Source organism: Homo sapiens, chromosome 5 (genome assembly GCF_000001405.40).
Source record: "Homo sapiens chromosome 5, GRCh38.p14 Primary Assembly".
Lineage (NCBI taxonomy): Eukaryota > Metazoa > Chordata > Mammalia > Primates > Hominidae > Homo > Homo sapiens.
The window spans coordinates 176097101-176117023 of record NC_000005.10 but is presented as its reverse complement, the minus strand read 5'-3'; the positions used below and the strand labels follow the sequence as shown (position 1 = coordinate 176117023).

General features: G+C 46.9%; 1 pseudogene across 1 annotated transcript in view; it reads right to left on the bottom strand.

The window, feature by feature from the left end:
• Window positions 1-19923, bottom strand: part of FAM153B (family with sequence similarity 153 member B) — a 64088-nt pseudogene that overhangs the window by 10119 nt on the left and 34046 nt on the right. The window contains exons 7-21 of the transcript NR_169299.1: window positions 19645-19669; window positions 18466-18536; window positions 17979-18003; window positions 15907-15977; window positions 15443-15473; window positions 13727-13797; window positions 13244-13268; window positions 10895-10965; window positions 10434-10464; window positions 8349-8419; window positions 7887-7917; window positions 3646-3683; window positions 3157-3224; window positions 2963-3068; window positions 772-1431 (exon numbers count right to left, since the gene is read on the bottom strand). The product of NR_169299.1 is annotated as a family with sequence similarity 153 member B (transcript). The remainder of the gene's footprint in view (window positions 1-771; window positions 1432-2962; window positions 3069-3156; window positions 3225-3645; window positions 3684-7886; window positions 7918-8348; window positions 8420-10433; window positions 10465-10894; window positions 10966-13243; window positions 13269-13726; window positions 13798-15442; window positions 15474-15906; window positions 15978-17978; window positions 18004-18465; window positions 18537-19644; window positions 19670-19923) is intronic.

The following is a 19923-nucleotide window of genomic DNA, read 5'->3' as shown; positions in this document are numbered from 1 at the left end:
AATAAAACATCCTTAAAAGGCTCCTCTCAAATTCCTTGCAAACATTAGGCTCCTCTCAAATTGCTTGCACATGCTTGGAGAAGCTCACAGTGGTTAGTACACTCATACACAACTGAACTTGAGCGACACAAAGCTTACAAGACAGCAAAGACAACAGCAAAGCTGGGCCCAGCAGCCATCACCTAAAGAACTCTTCACTCGTTACATTGGAGCAGGTGATCTCTCTGGAACCAGGAACCACAGAACACTGAAGGACACGGAGCTGGTGGCTAAGGATTCAAGGCCTGCAGTGAAAATGTAACATTTCCCTCCAAGTGCTTATTTCTGCTATAAACTGGTTTAGTTTTGCAATGAACAACTAGATTTCTAACTGATATTCACGTTAATAAACTTTTCTTTTTTAAGACAGGGTCTTGCTCTGTCACCCAGGCTGGAGTGCAGTGGTGCAGTCATGGCTTACTGGAGCCTCAACCTCCTAGGCTCAACCAATCCTCCTGCCTCAGCCTCCCAAGTAGCTGGGGCTACAGATGGATGCTACCATGCCCAGCTAATTAAAGGATTTTTTTTTTTTGTAGGGATGAGGTCTCACTATGTTGCCCCGGCTGGTCTTAAACTCCTGGGATCAAGCAATTGTCCTGCTTTGGTCTCCCAAACTGCTGAGATTACAGGTGGTAGCCCCTGCACCAGGCCATTAACATTTATATATGTAAAATACATACAGAATGTAAATCACCACAAAACATAAAAATACTCCATATTGATGTAACTTACCATACTATGGATTTGTTTTAAAAATGAGGTAAAAGTCATTAAGAAAATGAAAGCACAAAAGTCTATCAAAATTACAAAAACTTAAAACCGAGTAAACAAAACTTCAGAAAGAATGAAAACAATTGGAAAATAACTTCAAGAAAAAAATGTAAAATGGAAACAATACAAGAACAATTTGTGCCCTCTGAAAAACAGAGGTTAAAGTCAGAATTTTTTTGTTCTTTTTTTTTTTTTTTTGAGACAAAGTCTCACTCTGTAGCCAGGTGCTGGGGTGCAGTGGCATGATCTCGGCTCACTGCAACCTCCGCCTCCTGAGGTCAAGTGATTCTCCTGCCTCAGCCTCCCAAATAGCTGGGACTACAAGAGTGCGCCACCACGCCTAGCTAATTTTTGTATTTTTAGTAGAGACGGGGTTTCACCTTGTTGGCCAGGCTGGTCTTTAACTCCTGACCTCAGGTGATCCACCCGCCTCGGCCTCCCAAAGTGCTGGGATTACAGGCATAAGCCACCACGCCCAGCCAGGAAAGTATTTAAAAACAAATTAAGCAAAGATTATAAAAGTTTTTGGAGTAACACATTTCCCGAAATGATCACGATCCACATCAAGTCTGAGCCATGTTGACATCCCCACGTCGGGGCCCTTCCTGGTGGTCGAGGAATCTGCAACACAGACAGAGGTGCAAGGGTCACTAGAGAGGCACAGAAGTAGAGGGAGGAGGGGCTCCCTGGGATGGGTGTGCAGGTCTCAGAGACCTCCTTGGGCCCTGGAAGGTGACCTGGGGCCCCTGAGCTCCCCACAGTCAGGTCTACTCAGATGTCAAGGCACTGAGCCCTGTGTGCTGCTCTCTGCTGAGGAGTTATCTGTCCACAGAGAGTGTGAGTGTCATGGAGGAAGAATGAACCTGGGCGCTCACACGGGCACCTTCAGGGGGCTGGTTCCCCGGAGGGTAAAACAGACACACAGAAATGGAATTTCAAGCATACCAGGATCAACAGGCAGAGTCCCATGCCCCTGGGCCCTAAGAGGAGCAGGAGGTCTCATGACACAGGGTGGGGGTGGTGACCCTGCCTTGCCACCCAGATCCTCTGTGCCATCCAGACGGAAGAGCTGCACGTTGAATATGCATAGCTTCCTGGAGAAGAGCTGCACGTTGAACATGCATAGCTTCCTGGAGAAGAGCTGCACGTTGAACATGCATAGCTTCCTGGAGAAGAGCTGCACGTTGAATATGCATAGCTTCCTGGAGCACGTCATTGTTATTGCCTAATAAGACCTGGTCTTTCTAGCATCCCAACCGGACCTGTCTTTGCTTTGTAATTTTTAAAATTATGCTTTGGTAAGACACAAATTTCTCATGTTTGTATATTCTAGCATAAAAGGGTTACAGAAGACATACATTTGAAAGAGTGAAAAACAGTGTATATGTACACACACACACACACATTCATATGTGTACCTTATTTCAAGATTGGAAAATATATTTAAAAAACAGAGGCTCGCTAAATCATGTCCTCAAACCCTCCCAAGTGAGCATGGCCCTGAAATGTCTTCAAGGGTTTGTTTTGTTGGCATTTGGCCCAAGCCAGTGCCCTCTACATACAGAAGCCTCCAACCTCATCTTGAAAAATGGGGCCATGAGGCCACCCCAGGCCCCCACAGAGGCTGAAGGACCCCTGGAACTGGAGGCCCCCAGACCCCCCAGAGGCTGAAGGACTCCTGGGACTGGACACATTTCAGTGCTTCTTGGATCCTGCCGTGTCCCCTGCTTGACACCAGGACCTACTGAGGGCCTGCTGGCCTGCAATACTGGGTCGGGTGGGCTGCTCGCTTGTGTGACAAGGAGCCTGGGGGTGCCTCCATCCCTCTCACACCTTTCCCAGGAGGCCTGAACCAGGGGGATTCATGTCAACCCTAGTGTCTCCTCAGGATGAACTAGTGATGCTCCCTGTTGTCCTCAAGGGGCTGGGAAGACAGAGCTAGGTCCCCCCAAATGAGATGTTGGTGAGCTGAAGAGTTACTGCAGACAACACAGTGCAAAGCCCTTGGAGTCCTGCACATGGGGGTGCGACCAGCACCTCAGTGTCTCCCTCACTAAGCAGCCTGTGGAGGGCTCAGCCCAGCAGGCTCAGGGGCTGCTATGGAGTGGGTGTCTGTTTCCTGGAGCATGTTCTCAGGGCATCCTTCACTTACCTTCAGAGGTCTCTAAAATATATTAAAAATGTCCCAACATTTCAGGACATTCCACCGGCTTTTCTTGCTGGGCTTCCTGGTTTTCTTCTTGGGCTTTCTGGTTTTCCTGATGGGACAACAAGAAAGTGAGCGTAGCCAAGAAGAACATGGGCACGTGCCCACTTCCCTCATCATTCTGCCCACTGCACACTCACACTTCCTCTTCCACTTTGGTCTTTTCTGTTGCTTCTTCTGCAGGTGCAGAGGAAGGACTTGCTGACATCTGTGAGGAAGAGAACAATTGTGCATGTCCAGAGACGCCAGTGCAGGAAAAGACCTATCTGTGAAGGCGGTGCCCAGAGCAGACCCAGATGTCACTGGGGGGTCCCTCCAGCAGGGTGGGGTCCAGCTCTTCTGACCCCAGCCCAGCCCCCTCCCCTGGACCCTGTAGGGTTGTTCAGCAAGATTCAAAGCTGCAACCTGGGGGCCAGTAAACAGGGCAATGCCAAGGCAGTGGGCAGGAGGGCTGGAGAGGGATTTTATCGACACTGAAGACCCGAGGACCTCAACTGTGGGATGAGACCAGGTCCTTCAGGAGAACAATCACAAGAGAGGGAAAGAGGAAAAGGACTAGAGCTAAAAAAGGAGCTCATGAGTCAGAAAGAGGATAAAAGACAGCCAGCATATAAGAGGAGATCAATTACCTGCTGGTGGCTGCCTGTAATGGTGGAGTCTTCCAATTCTGTGAAGCAAGCATCAGAGTGTCCGGAGGAGCAGCGGTGATGGGGTGGCCATAAGAAGGAAAGGGGAGAGTTAGAGTCGAGAGAACCACTCAGACCCCGCTGTCCTGGGGCTGTGGAGCCAACCCCAGAGCCTCTGATGTGCTCATTTCTGGAGCCTTCTCCACAGCCTGTATCATTTCCTCTGTGCTATGAGGGAGGGACCTCTGACTTCCCACGTACTTTCCCAGCCCTCACATTCCATAACTGAGCCAAGGGAGGGGAAGCCGTGTCATTCTGTTCCTCCAAGAGGCAGCGCCCTCTTCACAACGTTGTGCGTGACATGGAGTTCCCTCCCTTCTCCTCCTGTAGGGCCTGTTTCTGTTCCCGCATGAATCCCATTTCCTTTCACCCTGTGGACCTCCACCAGTCCTACTGTTCTCCAAAATAAGAACACTGGAAAGAAGGTCAAGGCTGCACTGCCAGGGCCTCCAATCAACCCACGGATCGCACCCTGGGTCAGCAGCACCTCCCACAGGCCTGGGGTTGTGTTGGGGCCTGCGGGAGGTGATGATGGCCGATGTCACTTATACAGTGACTGTTCTATGCCTGGAGTGACCTTAGAGACTTGGAAAATATTCAGCCCTCAAAAGAATCCCAGCAGCTTCTGAATATTTGGAAACAATGGAACAGAATTCAAGGTAAAGCTCCTTGTCCCAGTTGCCTTAATCTGCAGGTGACGCCAGCAGTTGCCAGCACAGAAATGAGGGGACCCTCCCAGGGTTTGCCTGAGCTGTGGGAAGACTAGGAGGGAAGGTACCTGGAAGACCTGACACAGAGAACAAGCTGGGCCTGACTGGAGTGTGGGGAGAAGGACAAGGCTGCTGAGCCAGAGAGGAGGGTGTGACAAGACAAGTGACCACTGTGCCAGCTGCCCAGAGGCTCTGCCCTGGGCCCAGTGGATTCCAGGGACCAGGCTACAGGGAGGGTGAGAGCCACTGCCTACAGCAACACAGCAGCCCCTCCACACATATCCCTTAGGATTCCTGCCAGCCACAGAGGGCCCTGAGCAACAGCTGGACTTGGGCCTCTCCAGTGAAAGCCAATTTAGGTTTCATTCAAAGCACAGGGATTTGGGATTGGATGGGATTGGGTGAGGAGTGGAGGCCAAAACTGTGCTCAATCATGTGTTCTGCCCTCAGGACTCCAGGATGCTGGGGCACACGTAGGAATCCCAGAGGAAGGATTCCCTGTGTCATCCGACCCAGGGAGCACCCTTAGAGCAGGAGCAGACAGTGAGGACAGGACAGGAAGGTGCTGTTGCAGGTCCCAAGAGTGTAGAGAAAGACAGTGGGCTCCTTTCACCTCCTGGCACACGTATGAAGGACTTTGTCTTCAGGATCACGTAGCGCCTATGTGGGGCTGTGTCCCACCCCACACTCAACTTTACACCTGCATACTCATCTTGTGATCTCTATTCACAAAAAAATGCTACCTCATCAAAACCCAGGGCTCTGGTGCTTACTGTGGCAAAGGCAGGAATGATCTGGTCTTCTGCAAAATGTAATATTTAAACACCAGAGCAAGAAATGATGGTGACATACACAACTCGCACAAAGCCCATGAGAAAAAAACTCTTAGGACTTTCTCATTAAGATACAAAAAATCCCAAGTCAGACTTCTACACCTGTTTCATATTTAGTCACTTCACTGATCCCATCCTAGGCTCCAAAATAAGTGTAACCCAATTCCCAAGAACCCTGTCTCACTGGTCAACCCTGGAGTGTTGGTCCCTACCTGACCAGTCTATTTCCTCCTGGATGGATCCAGAGGTGGTGCCCATGAGCCCATGTACAGAGACACAAACATTAGTACTACTGCTCTGTCCACTGTGATTCTCCCTGGGCTCTGTGAACTCAGGGGCCTTTATGAAGGCACTGCTCACAGTTGTGAGCCTTCAGGTAAGACAGAGGACCTGAAATAATCCCTTTCAACTGTTCACCGACACTGGCTCATAGCATCTCTTACCTCCAATCTGAGAACCTGAGATTCCAGCCTTGATGCAAATGCACTGAGTTAGGTGGGTGCAGAGAACAGAACCTGGGCCAGACTCACAGCAGCTGCTTCCCAGGTGATTCTGGGAGAATGGAGATGCTCTCTTAAGAGTAGACTTTTGGCAACTGGGAACTTCTAGCATGGCTCTTGTGAGGAGGTTATGAATTTTTTCATTTATTTTAACATGAATGGGCACATATGCCACTGAGAACCATACTGGAATGCACAGGTCTAAACCCAAAGATGAGGAAGATGTGACTCTCCCCCCTGGTGATTCCTGGCAGAGTGGTTTGCTGCTCTGATCTGATCATTCATGGATGGGTACTTCAGGGGCACAGGAACAAGCTCCAGGCCCCCTGTGAAGTGCAGGGATGCCACAACAAAAATAAAAAAGCCTGGTCCAGCAAAGGAGGACTCGTAAACAGAAAAACAGCCTCTTCTGCAAGGAGAAAAGCTGAACCAAAGTAGCCAGGGTAGAGATGAGGGGGACACTTCATTGACTTCAGGAGCCCACCCTATTCTCCTGTGACCTTGGATCAGAATCCACTAAGGTTTCTAAATTACTATGAGAAACAACAGATTGAAGGAGATGAGCAGGAAGCCTTTTCACACTGGTGCTGGATCTCAGCAAAGGGTTTGGAAGCATTGGAACATTACTGGGGCCCAAGATGGGCTGCCCAGGGCTAAGCTCTGGGATGAGAAGGAACGAGGAGGACATAGTCCTTCCCCTCCGTGACCAGCCATGGCCAGGATTCATCTACACATAAGTAAAGCAAAACAGAGTTTAGGACTAACAATTCCAAGACTATCTCAGAGAAAAAGGCAAAGTGATGTCTTATACATCACACAGGAGAGTTGCAAGGACCACCTGGACTCTGGAGCAGCCCCTCTCCCTTTGCTGAGTTCACCTTGCACTGAAGCAGGGTCCGTTCTCACCTCCTCTGCAACTAGTGTGGGGCAGGTATCCTGCCTGATGATTATTTCATTAAATACAATAGAATATGCCACTGATTATTGTCTGCTTTTGAAAAGGAGCTGAGGAATGATTTCACCATTCTAGACCAAAAGCCTGAGGACTGTGTGTGTTTTACATTAATGATCACACTAAAGCCCACTGTGCAATGTACCTACTCAAACAAACCCTGGGTTAGCTGACCATTGAGACCATCTGATAACGATAGTGTTTGGGATCTGAATAGCTTTTCATTCTCCCACATGCACACAGAATTGCTGGAATAACTTGGCCTAGCAAGAAATTATACCAGGGCTTTGTGACAAATTCAGTGTACTAGCTCATGGCATTAACCTTCCACTCATCCCCGAGTTCACATGTGCCTCTTGCACTTAAAAGACCAAGAGCTTGGGAAATTCAACTCTGCAGCATGTCCATCTGAGGACTGGGTATATTAAACTTATCTTCAGGTACAGCTGTGGTGGACGATGAATGGGTTGATTTATGCAAACTGTGCAGTGGTGATGGAATTTTTCTTGGACATTGATCCTTGTGTTGTGCTTTGAACATGGGAGTATGTTTTCTGGGGAAATGCACACACACTCACAAAGACATCCACAATCATTCCATATAGACTCTCTCCTCTGTCCCTCCCAACTCTGATGTACTACCCCACCTTACATGACACTGCTGCTTCCAGGGATGACAGTAGCATGGTTAGAGTACTGGACTCTTAGTTTGTTGGGGTGTTTTTTTGTTTTTTGTTTTTTTTTTTTTTTTTTTGAGACGGAGTTTCGCTCGTTGCCCAGGCTGGAGTGCAATGGCACAACCTTGGCTCACCTCAACCTCTACCACCTCGGTTCAAGTGATTCTCCTGCCTTGGCCTCCTGAGTAGCTGGGATTGCAGGCATGTGACACCACACCCAGGTAATTTTGTATTTTTAGGAGCGGTGGGGTTTCTCAATGTCAGTCAGGCTGGTCTCAAACTCCTGACCTCTGCTGATCCGCCCGTCTCCGCCTCTCAAGGTGCTGGGATTACAGGCGTGAGCCACTGTGCCCGGTGTGACTCTTAGTAGTTTTTAAACCAAAATTCCCAAATCTCATTTCTGGCAGAAAGCTCAAACCAGAGTGGCCCTTGAGCAAAAGCAGGTGAAGCAGCACTACCTTTACAACACTAAGATTTCACACCTAAACAAAGAGATGATCCCAGAATACGTACGCTTTGCCAGTGTGGCTGGGTCCACCTGCATCTAGAGAAAAAGAAAACACTATGAGGGTCAGACCATGCTGTCTCCTGTGTGCACAGGTCTTCACTTGTTGACGTTAAAAAGCCAGATGGTAAACAGTGGTTGAGACAATGGCCCCGGTATCTAGAAGACATTCCTGGAAAGGCACAGGATTTCTGTGCAACATTTTCAATTGTTTTTCTTTGACAATTCCAAATTCTTCTCAAGAAGAAGGCATTTCTCTTAAGGAAAATGCCTGTTGACACACAGTTTGTAAGTGTGGATGCCATCTGAAACCACTGTTTAGTTGATAATGAACTCTGGCATTTGCCCACCAAGAAATTCTGTCAGTCACCTATAGTGTATATGGTGAGGTGTATACATCTTAATTCAATTGAAACAGAGAAACCGAGAGAAATAAAATTTCCTTTTCAGAGGAAAGAAGACGACTTTACCATGTGAACCCCTGTGGCTTCCTCAGAGACTGTCTGCCCTGGCACATGCTCCTCCAGGTCTTCCAGGTCACCTAGGAAACAGAGTCGCTATAAGCACATGAGCTCCACTGAGTGAATCCCTCAGGTGGTCTTGGAGCTGTGGACACGGGGCTGGCATGTGTGGAAAGGTGTGTTCACAGCACAGACTCAGCTGCTGCCGGTCCATCCTCCGTGGTGGAGAGGGAAGGCAAATGGTGAAGGAAGGCACCAGGAAGGCCTCAGAAGACAGAGCCTTGGTCCTCTAGCTACGCCAACCTCTTCGACATGAAAGAGCCCATCTCAAACAGAGCACACCACACAGTGTTTCACTGCAGCATCCAGGACTCCTCCTTCCTAATATGACCTGAGCTAACTTGCCCTCTTATTGATCCCTGCCAAAGTCATTTCCTCCTCACAATCCACTGAGGAGGATGCTGATGTGTTTATCATCCCTTTTAGAGGATTTTGTATGGAATAAGAAGCAACCATTCTTAAAATAGGAGATTTAATTCTAGCCAAAAGATTTTATTACTGACTTTCTGTTACAAGGCAAATAAACCAAGATTTGAAAATAATTATCCTACCATTTAAAGATGACCCCTACTTAGCATGTGGTATTTGTTCTTCCACTCTCCCTTTTCAACAGAATTTGTGTGCACCATGATGTTCACTGCTCCTCATGCTCACACTGACTCCAGCACTGGGACAGCCTGTCATGGGGAGCAGCGAGGGGGTGCGGGGGGCGGGCACTGACCCTCTCCAACCCAGCTGTGCAGGAGATTCCAGCAGGGAAAATGGGTGCCCGGCTAACACCCAAGTTGAGCCTTGAGATTTTTTTATTGGATGCTATGTCTTGGGATTGGGTTCCACTGAACTTCTAAGACTTGCGGTGATTATCTCCTTAAATACAATAGAGTATGGCACTGATTATTGTCTGCTTTTGAACAGGAGCTGAGGAATGACCTCAACACTGTAGTCCAAAAGCCTGAGGACTCTGTGTGTTTTACATTAATGGTCACACTAAAGCCCACTGTGCAATGTACCTACTCAAACCCTGGGTTAGCTGACCATTGAGACCACCCAATAACGATAGTCTGTGGGATCTGAATAGGTTTTCATTCTCCCACATGCACACAGAAGTGCTGGGATCAGTTGGCCTAGGAAGAAACTATACAAGGGCTTTGTGACAAATTCAGTGTAGTAGCTCATGCCGTTAACCTTCCACTCATCCCCGAGTTCACATGTGCCTCTTCCACTTAAAAGACCAAGAGCTTGGGAAATTCAACTCTGCAGCATGTCCATCTGAGGACTGTGGATATTAAACTTATCTTCAGGTACAGCTGTGGTGGAGGATGAATGGATTGATTTATGGAAACTGTGCAGTGGTGATGGAATTTTTCTTGGACATTGATCCTTGTGTTGTGCTTTGAACATGGGAGTATGTTTTCTGGGGAAATGCACACACACTCGCAAAGACATCCACAATCATTCCATATAGACTCTCTCCTCTGTCCCTCCCAACTCTGATGTACCACCCCACCTTAGATGACACTGCTGCTTCCAGGGATGACAGTAGCATGGTTAGAGTACTGGACTCCCAGTTTGTTGGGTTTTTTTTTTTTTTTTTTTTTGAGACAGAGTTTCACTCGTTGCCCAGGCTGAAGTGCAATGGCACAACCTTGGCTCACTGCAACCTCTACCACCTGGGTTCCAGTGATTCTCCTGCCTCAGCCTCCTGAGTAGCTGGGATTACAGGCATGTGACAACACACCCAGGTAATTTTGTATTTTTAGGAGCGATGGGGTTTCTCAATGTCAGTCAGGCTGGTCTCAAACTCCTGACTTCTGCTGATCCGCCCGTCTCCACCTCTCAAGGTGCTGGGATTACAGGCGTGAGCCACTGTGCCCGGTGTGACTCTTAGTAGTTTTTAAACTGAACTTCCCAAATCTCATTTCTGGCAGAAAGCTCAAACCAGAGTGGCCCTTGAGCAAAAGCAGGTGAAGCAGCGCCACCTTTACAACACTAAGATTTCAAACCTAAACAAAGAGATGATCCCAGAATACGTACTCTTTGCCGGCGTGGCTGGGTCCACCTGCATCTAGAGAAAAAGAAAACACCATGAGGGTCAGACCATGCTGTCTCCTGTGTGCACAGGTCTTCACTTGTTGACATTAAAAAGCCAGATGGTAAACAGTGGTTGAGACAATGGCCCCGGTATCTAGAAGACATTCCTGGAAAGGCACAGGATTTCTGTGCAACATTTTCAATTGTTTCTGTTTGACAATTCCAAATTTTTCTCAAGAAGAAGGCATTTCTCTTAAGGAAAATGCCTCTGACACACAGTTTCTAAGTGTGGATGCCATCTGAAACCATTTTTTAGTTGATAATGAACTCTGGCATTTGCCCACCAAGAAATTCTGTCAATCACCTATAGTGTACATGGTGAGATGTATACATCTTAATTCAATTGAAACAGAGAAACCGAGAGAAATAAAATTTCCTTTTCAGAGGAAAGAAGACGACTTTACCATGTGAACCCCTGTGGCTTCCTCAGAGACTGTCTGCCCTGGCACATGCTCCTCCAGGTCTTCCAGGTCACCTAGGAAACAGAGTCGCTATAAGCACATGAGCTCCACTGAGTGAATCCCTCAGGTGGTCTTGGAGCTGTGGACACGGGGCTGGCGTGTGTGGAAAGGTGTGTTCACAGCACAGACTCAGCTGCTGCCGGTCCATCCTCCATGGTGGAGAGGGAAGGCAAATGGTGAAGGAAGGCACCAGGAAGGTCTCAGAAGACAGAGCCTTGGTCCTCTAGCTACGCCAACCTCTTCGACATGAAAGAGCCCATCTCAAACAGGGCACACCACACAGTGTTTCACTGCAGCCTCCAGGGCTCCTCCTTCCTAATCTGACCTCAGCTAACTTGTCCTCCCTTCTTTATCCCCTCGAGGTCATTTCCTCCCAGGATCCACCTGTCCTGCTGCTGTGTTTTTTGTCCCTCCCAGAACTTGCTTTTTTTTTTTTTTTTGAGATGGAGTTTCTCTTTTCTTGCCCAGGCTGGAGTATAATGGTGCCATCTCGACCCACCACAACCTGTGCCACCTGGGTTCAAGTGATTCTCCAGTGTCAGCCTCCTGAGTAGCTAGGATTACAGGCATGCATCTCCATGCTTGGCTAATTCTGTATTTTTAGGAGAAACGGGTTTTCTCCATGTTGGTCAGTCTGGTCTCGAACTCTCAACCTCAGGTAATCTGCGCGCCTTGGCCTCCCAAAGTGCTGGGGTTACAGGCGTCAGTCACCATGTCACAACTTTTGTACTAGATAAAAAGCAACCCTTCCTCAAAGAGGAGACTTAATTCTAACTAAAATATCCTACGTATTCACTAACCTTTTGTTTTAAAGAAGACTAAGCCAAGATTTGAAAATACTCAATTATCCTACCATTTAAAGATGACCGCTACTTGGCCCATGGTGTTTGTGCTTCTGCTCTTCCTTTTAACACAGTGTGTGTGTGCCATGGGACCTGCTGCTGCTCATGCTCACACTGGCTCCAGCACTAGGACAGCCCATCATGGGGGCAGCAGGTGGGGGTGCTGAACCTCTCCAACCCAGCTGTGTAGGAGTCCAGCAGAGAAGATGAGGACCAGGGTAACATCCAAGTTTTTCCTTCGGTTCTTATTTGGTGCTGTGTCTTGGGGGTATGTGCTGAACTGCAGCATATGTAAGGCTTGTGGAGATTATGCCATTAAATACAATATAACACACCTGATTATTTTGTGCTTTTGATCAGGACATGAGAAAATAACACAGCACTGCATGAGCCACCCTCCATCATGCTAGGAAGGCAAGTGCTCACCCTGCCTCTCAGACCCTAGGGCAAACCCCTTGGTTTTCTTTTCATGTTGTAGTTTCTGAGCCGAGCACACAGAAACCATGACTAGGCTGAGGGATACAAGGCTGAAACTCTACATGACCCTGGAATTATCCATTCTGGGCCCCATTATCTTATGGTCAATATGAGACCTCTATGGAGAAAGTTGGGGTGATTTCCCCCTAACCCCGCCTGCAGGCTCCTCTCTTCTCAGTTTCCCAGCAGAACTCGCTGTAGCATGAGGCTGCTCCAGGGTCTAAATGCACAGGAAGAAGCCCTGCCCCACTCTCCTTGCTCAAGATGGGTGGTGGAGGGTCAGTTCTGAGGGCTTTGGTAGAAAAGGCTTGTAAAGGAGGGAAGGGGCTAGAGTGAGGTGTCATGCCATTCTAGTGGCAAGAGGAAATAGAAAGGCCTGTGAAGAGGTGAGGTTTATTAGAAAATAAAGTATAGCAGGGAATTCTGAATGAAAAAATAAAATCAGCAGAGATCCTGACACAGTCCTGTTCTATGGGTGTGCAGTAAGAATTTGCCTGGGTGTGGAGAGGATTTCTTTTAGGTTAATTAAAGTGTCCTGTGCGTGAAATAAACTGTACACTTTGGAAGCTTACAAGTTAATTTTTTCATGTGCCTGCAACAGGACTGCAACGGTGATGGAAATCTCTGTTGAGAATGTGGACACTAGAAAATCCGGGGATATGTAGTACGGAAACCCACACACACGCCCCCAGACTCACTGACCACGGCACCACATGAATTCACAAAAGACATGAGCAGGCCCCTTGCACGGGATCCCACCCCACCTTCAGAGAACACAGCTGCTCCCGGGGACTGCAGAATGTGGCCACTGTTTCTTATCTAGAAAACCATTTCTCCCATCACAGTCTAGGTCCTCATTCACAACATGAAGCTCAGCTCAGGCTGTCTGTCTACAGGAAAGCCAGTGAGACAGGGCCACATTCCTCAACATCTGGATTACTCATCAGTATGAGAGGGGTTCCCCAATACGTACCACGTTGTGGAACTCCCAAGGATGTCTGTAACGACAGAAAATAAATTGCTATGAGCATCAGACCATGCTGTGTCCTGTGAGCACAGGACTTTTCTTCACTTAGTGACATTAGAAAACAAGATGGAAAACCCAGTGTTCAAAGGAACCCCAAAGAAGCGAACAAATCAACTCATACTAAAGACACACATTTTTCTCAGAGGATGTTTCCTCTGAAGTCCATGTTGGCTGGCAAGTAGCTGATTTTGCTCCAAAGAGAACAAAATTGGTAAGGCTCACTGTTACACAACGGGTGACTGATGCTGTCATTTTCTCCCACTGTCTTAAATCAAGCCTCAGTGGGGACAGACTCTCACTTACCATTTCCCCCAAGGACACTGTGTAACTAAGATATATATCGTCAGAGTCTCATATCTTAATTTAATCCAAATAAGATAAAGCTAAGAAAGCAACAGTTTTTTCTCAGACAAATCCAGTTGGCCTGACCTTCACCTCCTCTGGGTCCTCCTCCTCGCCGTTGTAACTGGACAGCTCCTGAAGTACATCCCTGATCAGAACTAGGAGGATACAAAGTGACCATCAGCACCTTGGTGGTGGTGCTCATGAACAATTCAGTAACACTGCTTGAGGTGGGTTTGGGAGGAGGGTAGCAGGCACAGGAGAGATGCAGGAAGAAAGGGAATCAGGGCCTTTGGCTTCCTAGCTCCAGGCCACCTCATAAACATAAAATAGCCAATCTCAAACAGTGCACACCACGCAGTGCAGGCTGTGTGTCCCTGGCAGTCTCTGAGGGCTCCTCCTTCCTAATCTGACCTGAGCTAACTTGCCCTCTTATTGATCCCTGCCAAAGTCATTTCCTCCTCAGAATCCACATGTGCTGCTGATCTGTTTATCATCCCTTCTAGAAGATTTTGTACGGAATAAGAAGCAACCTTTCTTAAAATAGGAGATTTAATTCTAGCCAAAAGATTTTATTACTAACTTTCTGGTACAAGGCAAATAAACCAAGATTTGAAAATAATTTTCCTACCATTTAAAGATGACCCCTACTTAGCATGTGGTATTTGTTCTTCCACTTTCCCTTTTCAACAGAATTTGTGTGTAGCATGATGTTCACTGCTCCCCATGCTCACACTGACTCCAGCACTGGAGCAGCCTGTCATGGGGAGCAGCGAGGGGGTGCGGGGGGTGGGCACTGACCCTCTCCAATCCAGCTGTGCAGGAGATTCCAGCAGGGAAAATGGGTGCCCGGCTAACACCCAAGTTGAGCCTTGACTTTTTTTTATTGGATTCTATGTCTTGGGATTGGGTTCCACTGAACTTCTAAGACTTGCCGTGATTATCTCATCAAATACAATAGAGTATGGCACTGATTATCGTCTGCTTTTGAACAGGAGCTGAGGAATGACCTCAACGCTGTAGACCAAAAGCCTGAGGACTCTGTGTGTTTTACATTAATGATCACACTAAAGCCCACTGTGCAATGTACCTACTCAAACAAACCCTGGGTTAGATGACCATTGACACCATCTGATAATGATAGTGTTTGGGATCTGAATAGGTTTTCATTCTCCCACATGCACACAGAAGTGCTGGAATAACTTGGCCTAGCAAGAAATTATACCAGGGCTTTGTGACAAATTCAGTGTACTAGCTCATGGCATTAACCTTCCACTCATCCCTGAGTTCACATGTGCCTCTTCCATTTAAAAGACCAAGAGCTTGGGAAATTCAACTCTGCAGCATGTCCATCTGAGGACTGCGGATATTAAACTTATCTTCAGGTACAGCTGTGGTGGAGGATGAATGGGTTGATTTATGCAAACTGTGCAGTGGTGATGGAATTTTTCTTGAACATTGATCCTCATGTTGTGCTTTGCAGATGGGAGTGTGTTTTCTGGGGAAATGCACACACACTCCCAAAGACATCCACAATCATTCCATACAGACTCTCTCCTCTGTCCCTCCCATCCCTGATGTACCACCCCACCTTAGATGACACTGCTGCTTCCAGGGATGACAGTAGCATGGTTAGAGTGGTTTACTGGATCTTAGCATTCTTTTAAACCAAACTTCCCAAATCTCATTTCTGGCAGACAGCTCAAACCAGAGTGGCTCTTGAACAAAGGCAGGCAAAACAGTGCCATCTTTGCAACTCTAATATTTTGAACCTAAACAAAGAGATGATCCCAGAATACGTACGTTCGGCCAGTGTGTCTGGGTCCCCCTCCATCTAGAGAAAAACAAAACACTATGAGGTTCAGACCAGGCTGTGTCCTGTGTGCACAGGTCTTCTCTTCACTTGTTTATGTTAAAAAAACAGATGGTAAATAGTACTTGAGACAATGGCCCCGATATCTAGAAGACATTCGTGGAAAGGCACAAGATTTTTGTGCAAGATTTTCAATTGTTTTTGTTTGACAATTCCAAATTTTTCTCAAGAAGACATTTCTCTTAAGGTAAATGCCTGCTGACACACAGTTTGTAAATGTGGATGCCATCTGAAACCACTCTTTAGTTGATAATGAACGCTGACATTTGCCCACCAAGAAATTCTGTCAGTCACCTATAGTGTACATGGTGAGATGTATACATCTTAATTCAATTGAAACAGAGAAACCGAGAGAAATAAAATTTCCTTTTCAGAGGAAAGAAGACGACTTTACCATGTGAACTTCTGTGGCTTCCTCAGAGACTGTCTGCCCTGGCCCATGCTCCTCCAGGTCTTCCAGGTCACCTAGGAAACAGAGTCGCTATAAGCACATGAGCTCCACTGAGTGAATCCCTCAGGTGGTCTTGGAGCTGTGGACACGGGGCTGGCGTGTGTGGAAAGGTGTGTTCACAGCACAGACTCAGCTGCTGCCGGTCCATCCTCCATGGTGGAGAGGGAAGGCAAATGGTGAAGGAAGGCACCAGGAAGGTCTCAGAAGACAGAGCCTTGGTCCTCTAGCTAAGGCAACCTCTTTGAGATGAAGTAACCCATCTCAAACAGGGCACACCACACAGTGTTTCCCTGGAGCATCGACAGCTTCTCCTTCCTAATCTGACCTGAGCTAACTTGCCCTCCCTTCTTGATCCCCTAGAGGTCATTTCCTCCCCAGGATCCACATGTCCTGCTGCTGTGTATTTTGTCCCTCCTAGAATTATTATTATTATTATTTTTGAGATGGAGTTACTCTCTTCTTGCCCCAGCTGGAGTATAATTGTGCAATCTCAACCCACCACCACCTCTGCCTCCCAGGTTCAAGTGATTCTCCAGCCTCAGCCTCCTGAGTAGCTGGGATTATAGGCATGCATCACCATGCCCGGTTAATTCTGTATTTTTAGGAGAGATGGGTTTTCTCCATGTTGGTCAGCCTGGTTTCGAACGCCTGGCCTCAGGTGATCCACCCGTCTTGGCCCCCCAAACTGCTGGAATTACAGGTGTGAGCCACCATGCCTGACCAGAATATTCTGTACTAGAAACAAAGCAACCTTTCTTCAATGAGGAGATTAATTCTATCAAAATATTCTATGTATTCACTAACTTTTTGTTTTAAAGAAGACTAAACCAAGATTTGAAAATACTCAATTATCCTACCATTTAAAGATGACTGCTACTTGGCCCGTGATGTTTGTCCTTCTGCCCTTCCTTTTAACACAGTGTGCGTGTGCCACGGGACCTGCTGCTGCTCATGCTCACACTGGCTCCAGCACTAGGACAGCCCATCACGGGGGCAGCAGGTGGGGGTGCTGAACCTCTCCAACCCAGCTGTGTAGAAGAGTCCAGCAGAGAAGATGAGCACCAGGATAACACCCAAGTTTTTCCTTCGGTTCTTATTTGGTGCTGTGTCTCGGGGGTGTGTGCTGAACTGCAGCATATGTAAGGCTTGTGGAGTTTATGCCGTTAAATACAACATAACACGCCTGATTATTTTCTGCTTTGGATCAGGAGATGAGAAAATAACGCAGCACTGCAGCCAAAAGCCTGACCTCGCATTGTCTGTTTCCCATCTGTCACCACACCAAAGTCCACTGTAAAATGTACTTATTCCTACACGGAGTTATGTGACCATTGAGACAATCCTACATGAGAGACAGTGCTTGGGATTTCTGAAGGCCATCCAACTTCCATATGCACACATAGGTGCTAAAACTCTCCGGCATAACAACAAATTATACCTGAACCATGTGATTACTTCAGAGTAGTAGCCCATGGCATCAACCTTCCACCCACTCCTGAGTTCACCTCTACCTCTTGCACTGAGGAGATAAAGCACTTGGCAAATTCATCTCTGCACTATCTCCAGCTGCGTACTGGGGATATTAAACTGGCCTTCAGCTACAGCTGTGGTGGAGGATAAATGGGCAGAGTGACGTTAAGGTGTGCAGTGGTAATGGAATTTTTATTTACAACACTCATCTTTGTGTTGAGCTGTGCACATGGAAGCATGCTATCTGGAGAAATATACACATCCTCCCAAAGACATTCATAATCACTATACATAGACTCTCTTCTTATACCCGCCCCCCACCTTGATGCACCTCATTCGATTTCATAGAATGACACGGCAGCTAACAGAGACTACGTAGGATGGTCACCACTCGTCAGTACACTCTTAGAAATTTCTTCCCAAACCCCATTTTCCAATAGGAAGCTCCAATGAGAGTGGTTCTCCAGAAAACGCAGGCAAGAACGTGTCACCTTTCTCAACACTAAGATTTTTCCTTAGCAAAAAGGTGATCCCAGAATACGTACCGTTGGTTTGGATGCCTGTGTCTGCCTGCGTTTAGAGAAAGAAAAACACCATGAGGGTAAGATCATGCTGTCTCTGTGCACAGGTCTTTTCTAAACTTGGTGCTATTAGAAAACCAGATGGGAAATTCTGGTGGAGGCAATGGCCACAAAAATAAAGCCTAGAGAACACTTGTAGAAAGGCACCAGGTTTTTGTGCAAGATTATTTAAAATTTATTTTGGTTGCAAATTCATAATTCTCAAAAAGGTTTTTCTCCTGAGGACAATGCTTGCTGACATAGTTTGTAACTGAAGCTGTCATCTATGAATGCCATCTTCAATCAGTTCTTAGTTAGTAATGAATTCTCATTTTACATTTTCCCACCAAGAAATTCTGTAAGTCATCTGTAATGTACATGGCAGTAAGATTTTCCTATCTTTATTCAAGTGAAATTGAAAGAAACCTAGGAAAATGAAATTCCCCTTTCAGACAAAAAAAGAACAACTTACATGGGCAACAGTGAGGAGACTCTGATTGGATGCTTCAGGGAGATGTTCTGCTATAAACTCCTCTAGATGATCTAGGAGAAATAGGGTAAGTGTCACTGCATGGATTCCGCTGAGGGAATCCCTCGGGTTGTATTGGGTGGTGTGGACATGAGGCTGGCATGTGTGAAGAAGGTTGGCTACCCCAGACGGAGCCGCAGGCCCTTTCTCCTTGGTGGTGCAGGCAGGCAAATGAGACAACGAGGAAAGCCATGGGAACTAGAGCGTTGGTCCTCTGGCTAACGCAAGCTCATCAATGGCACTCAGCTGATCTCAAAGATGGCACACCATAGGGGCAGGCTGTGCTTCCCTACAACGTCTCAGGTTCCTCCTTCCTAATCTGACCTGAGCTAACTTGCCCTCCCTTTGTGATCCCTTCTGAGGTCATTTCCCCCTCAGGATCCACATGTGCTGCTGCTGTTCATCATCCCTCCTAAAACATTTTGTACTGCATAAAAGCAACCTTTCTTCAAAAAAATTTAACCTTTGGTGATCAAGCCTGGCAACTACTCTGTGTCTGGCCTGACCCTGAAGTCAAAAAAACTTATGACTTCACTGAACCTTTGAGTCAAACAGAATTAAACCAAGATTTGAAAATACTCAATTATCCTACCATTTAAAAATGACCCGCACTTAGCTTATTTGTCCTTCCACTCTTCCTTTTCAACACGATGTATGTGTCCATGGAGTCAGTTGCTGTTCATGCTCACGCTGACTCCAGCACTAGGACAGATCATCATGGGGGGCAGTAGGTGGGGGCGCTAACACTCTCCAAACTAGCTGTGCAGGAAATCCCACTGGGGTGATGGACACCAGAATAACACCCCAATTCTTCCTTGAGCTCTTATTCTGCACTGTGTATTGGATGTGTGGGCTGAATAAGGGCATGTGGAACACTTGTGGCCATCATGTTATTAAACATAGTAGAATATGTCCCTGATTGTTCTCTGCATTTTTTTTTTTTTTGAGATGAAATCTCACTGTGTTGCCCAGGCTAGAATGCAGTGCCATGATCAAGGCTTAGGTGCAGCAAACCACCATGACACATTTATACCGATGTAACAAAGCTGCATGTTCTACACATGCATCCTAGAATTGCAAGCAAAATAAAAACAATAAAAAGAGTAAACCCAGAATACATACCTTCTGATGGAAAGCATACCCTTTTCTGCAAATAGAGAAAAGAAAAACATTATGAGAGTCAGACCACACTGTGGCCTGTGTGCACAGGTCTTTTCTGCATTGTTGACATTATAGAAAACCCAATGGAAATAGTGAAAATAGTCAACACAAGGGCTCCAAATTAAAGCCTAGAGGGCACGTGGAAAGGCACAAGTTTTCTGTGCATGATTTCCAAGTTTATTTTCATTGCATGTTCACCATTAGTTTCAAGAAGGAAGCACTTCTCCTATGGAAAATGCT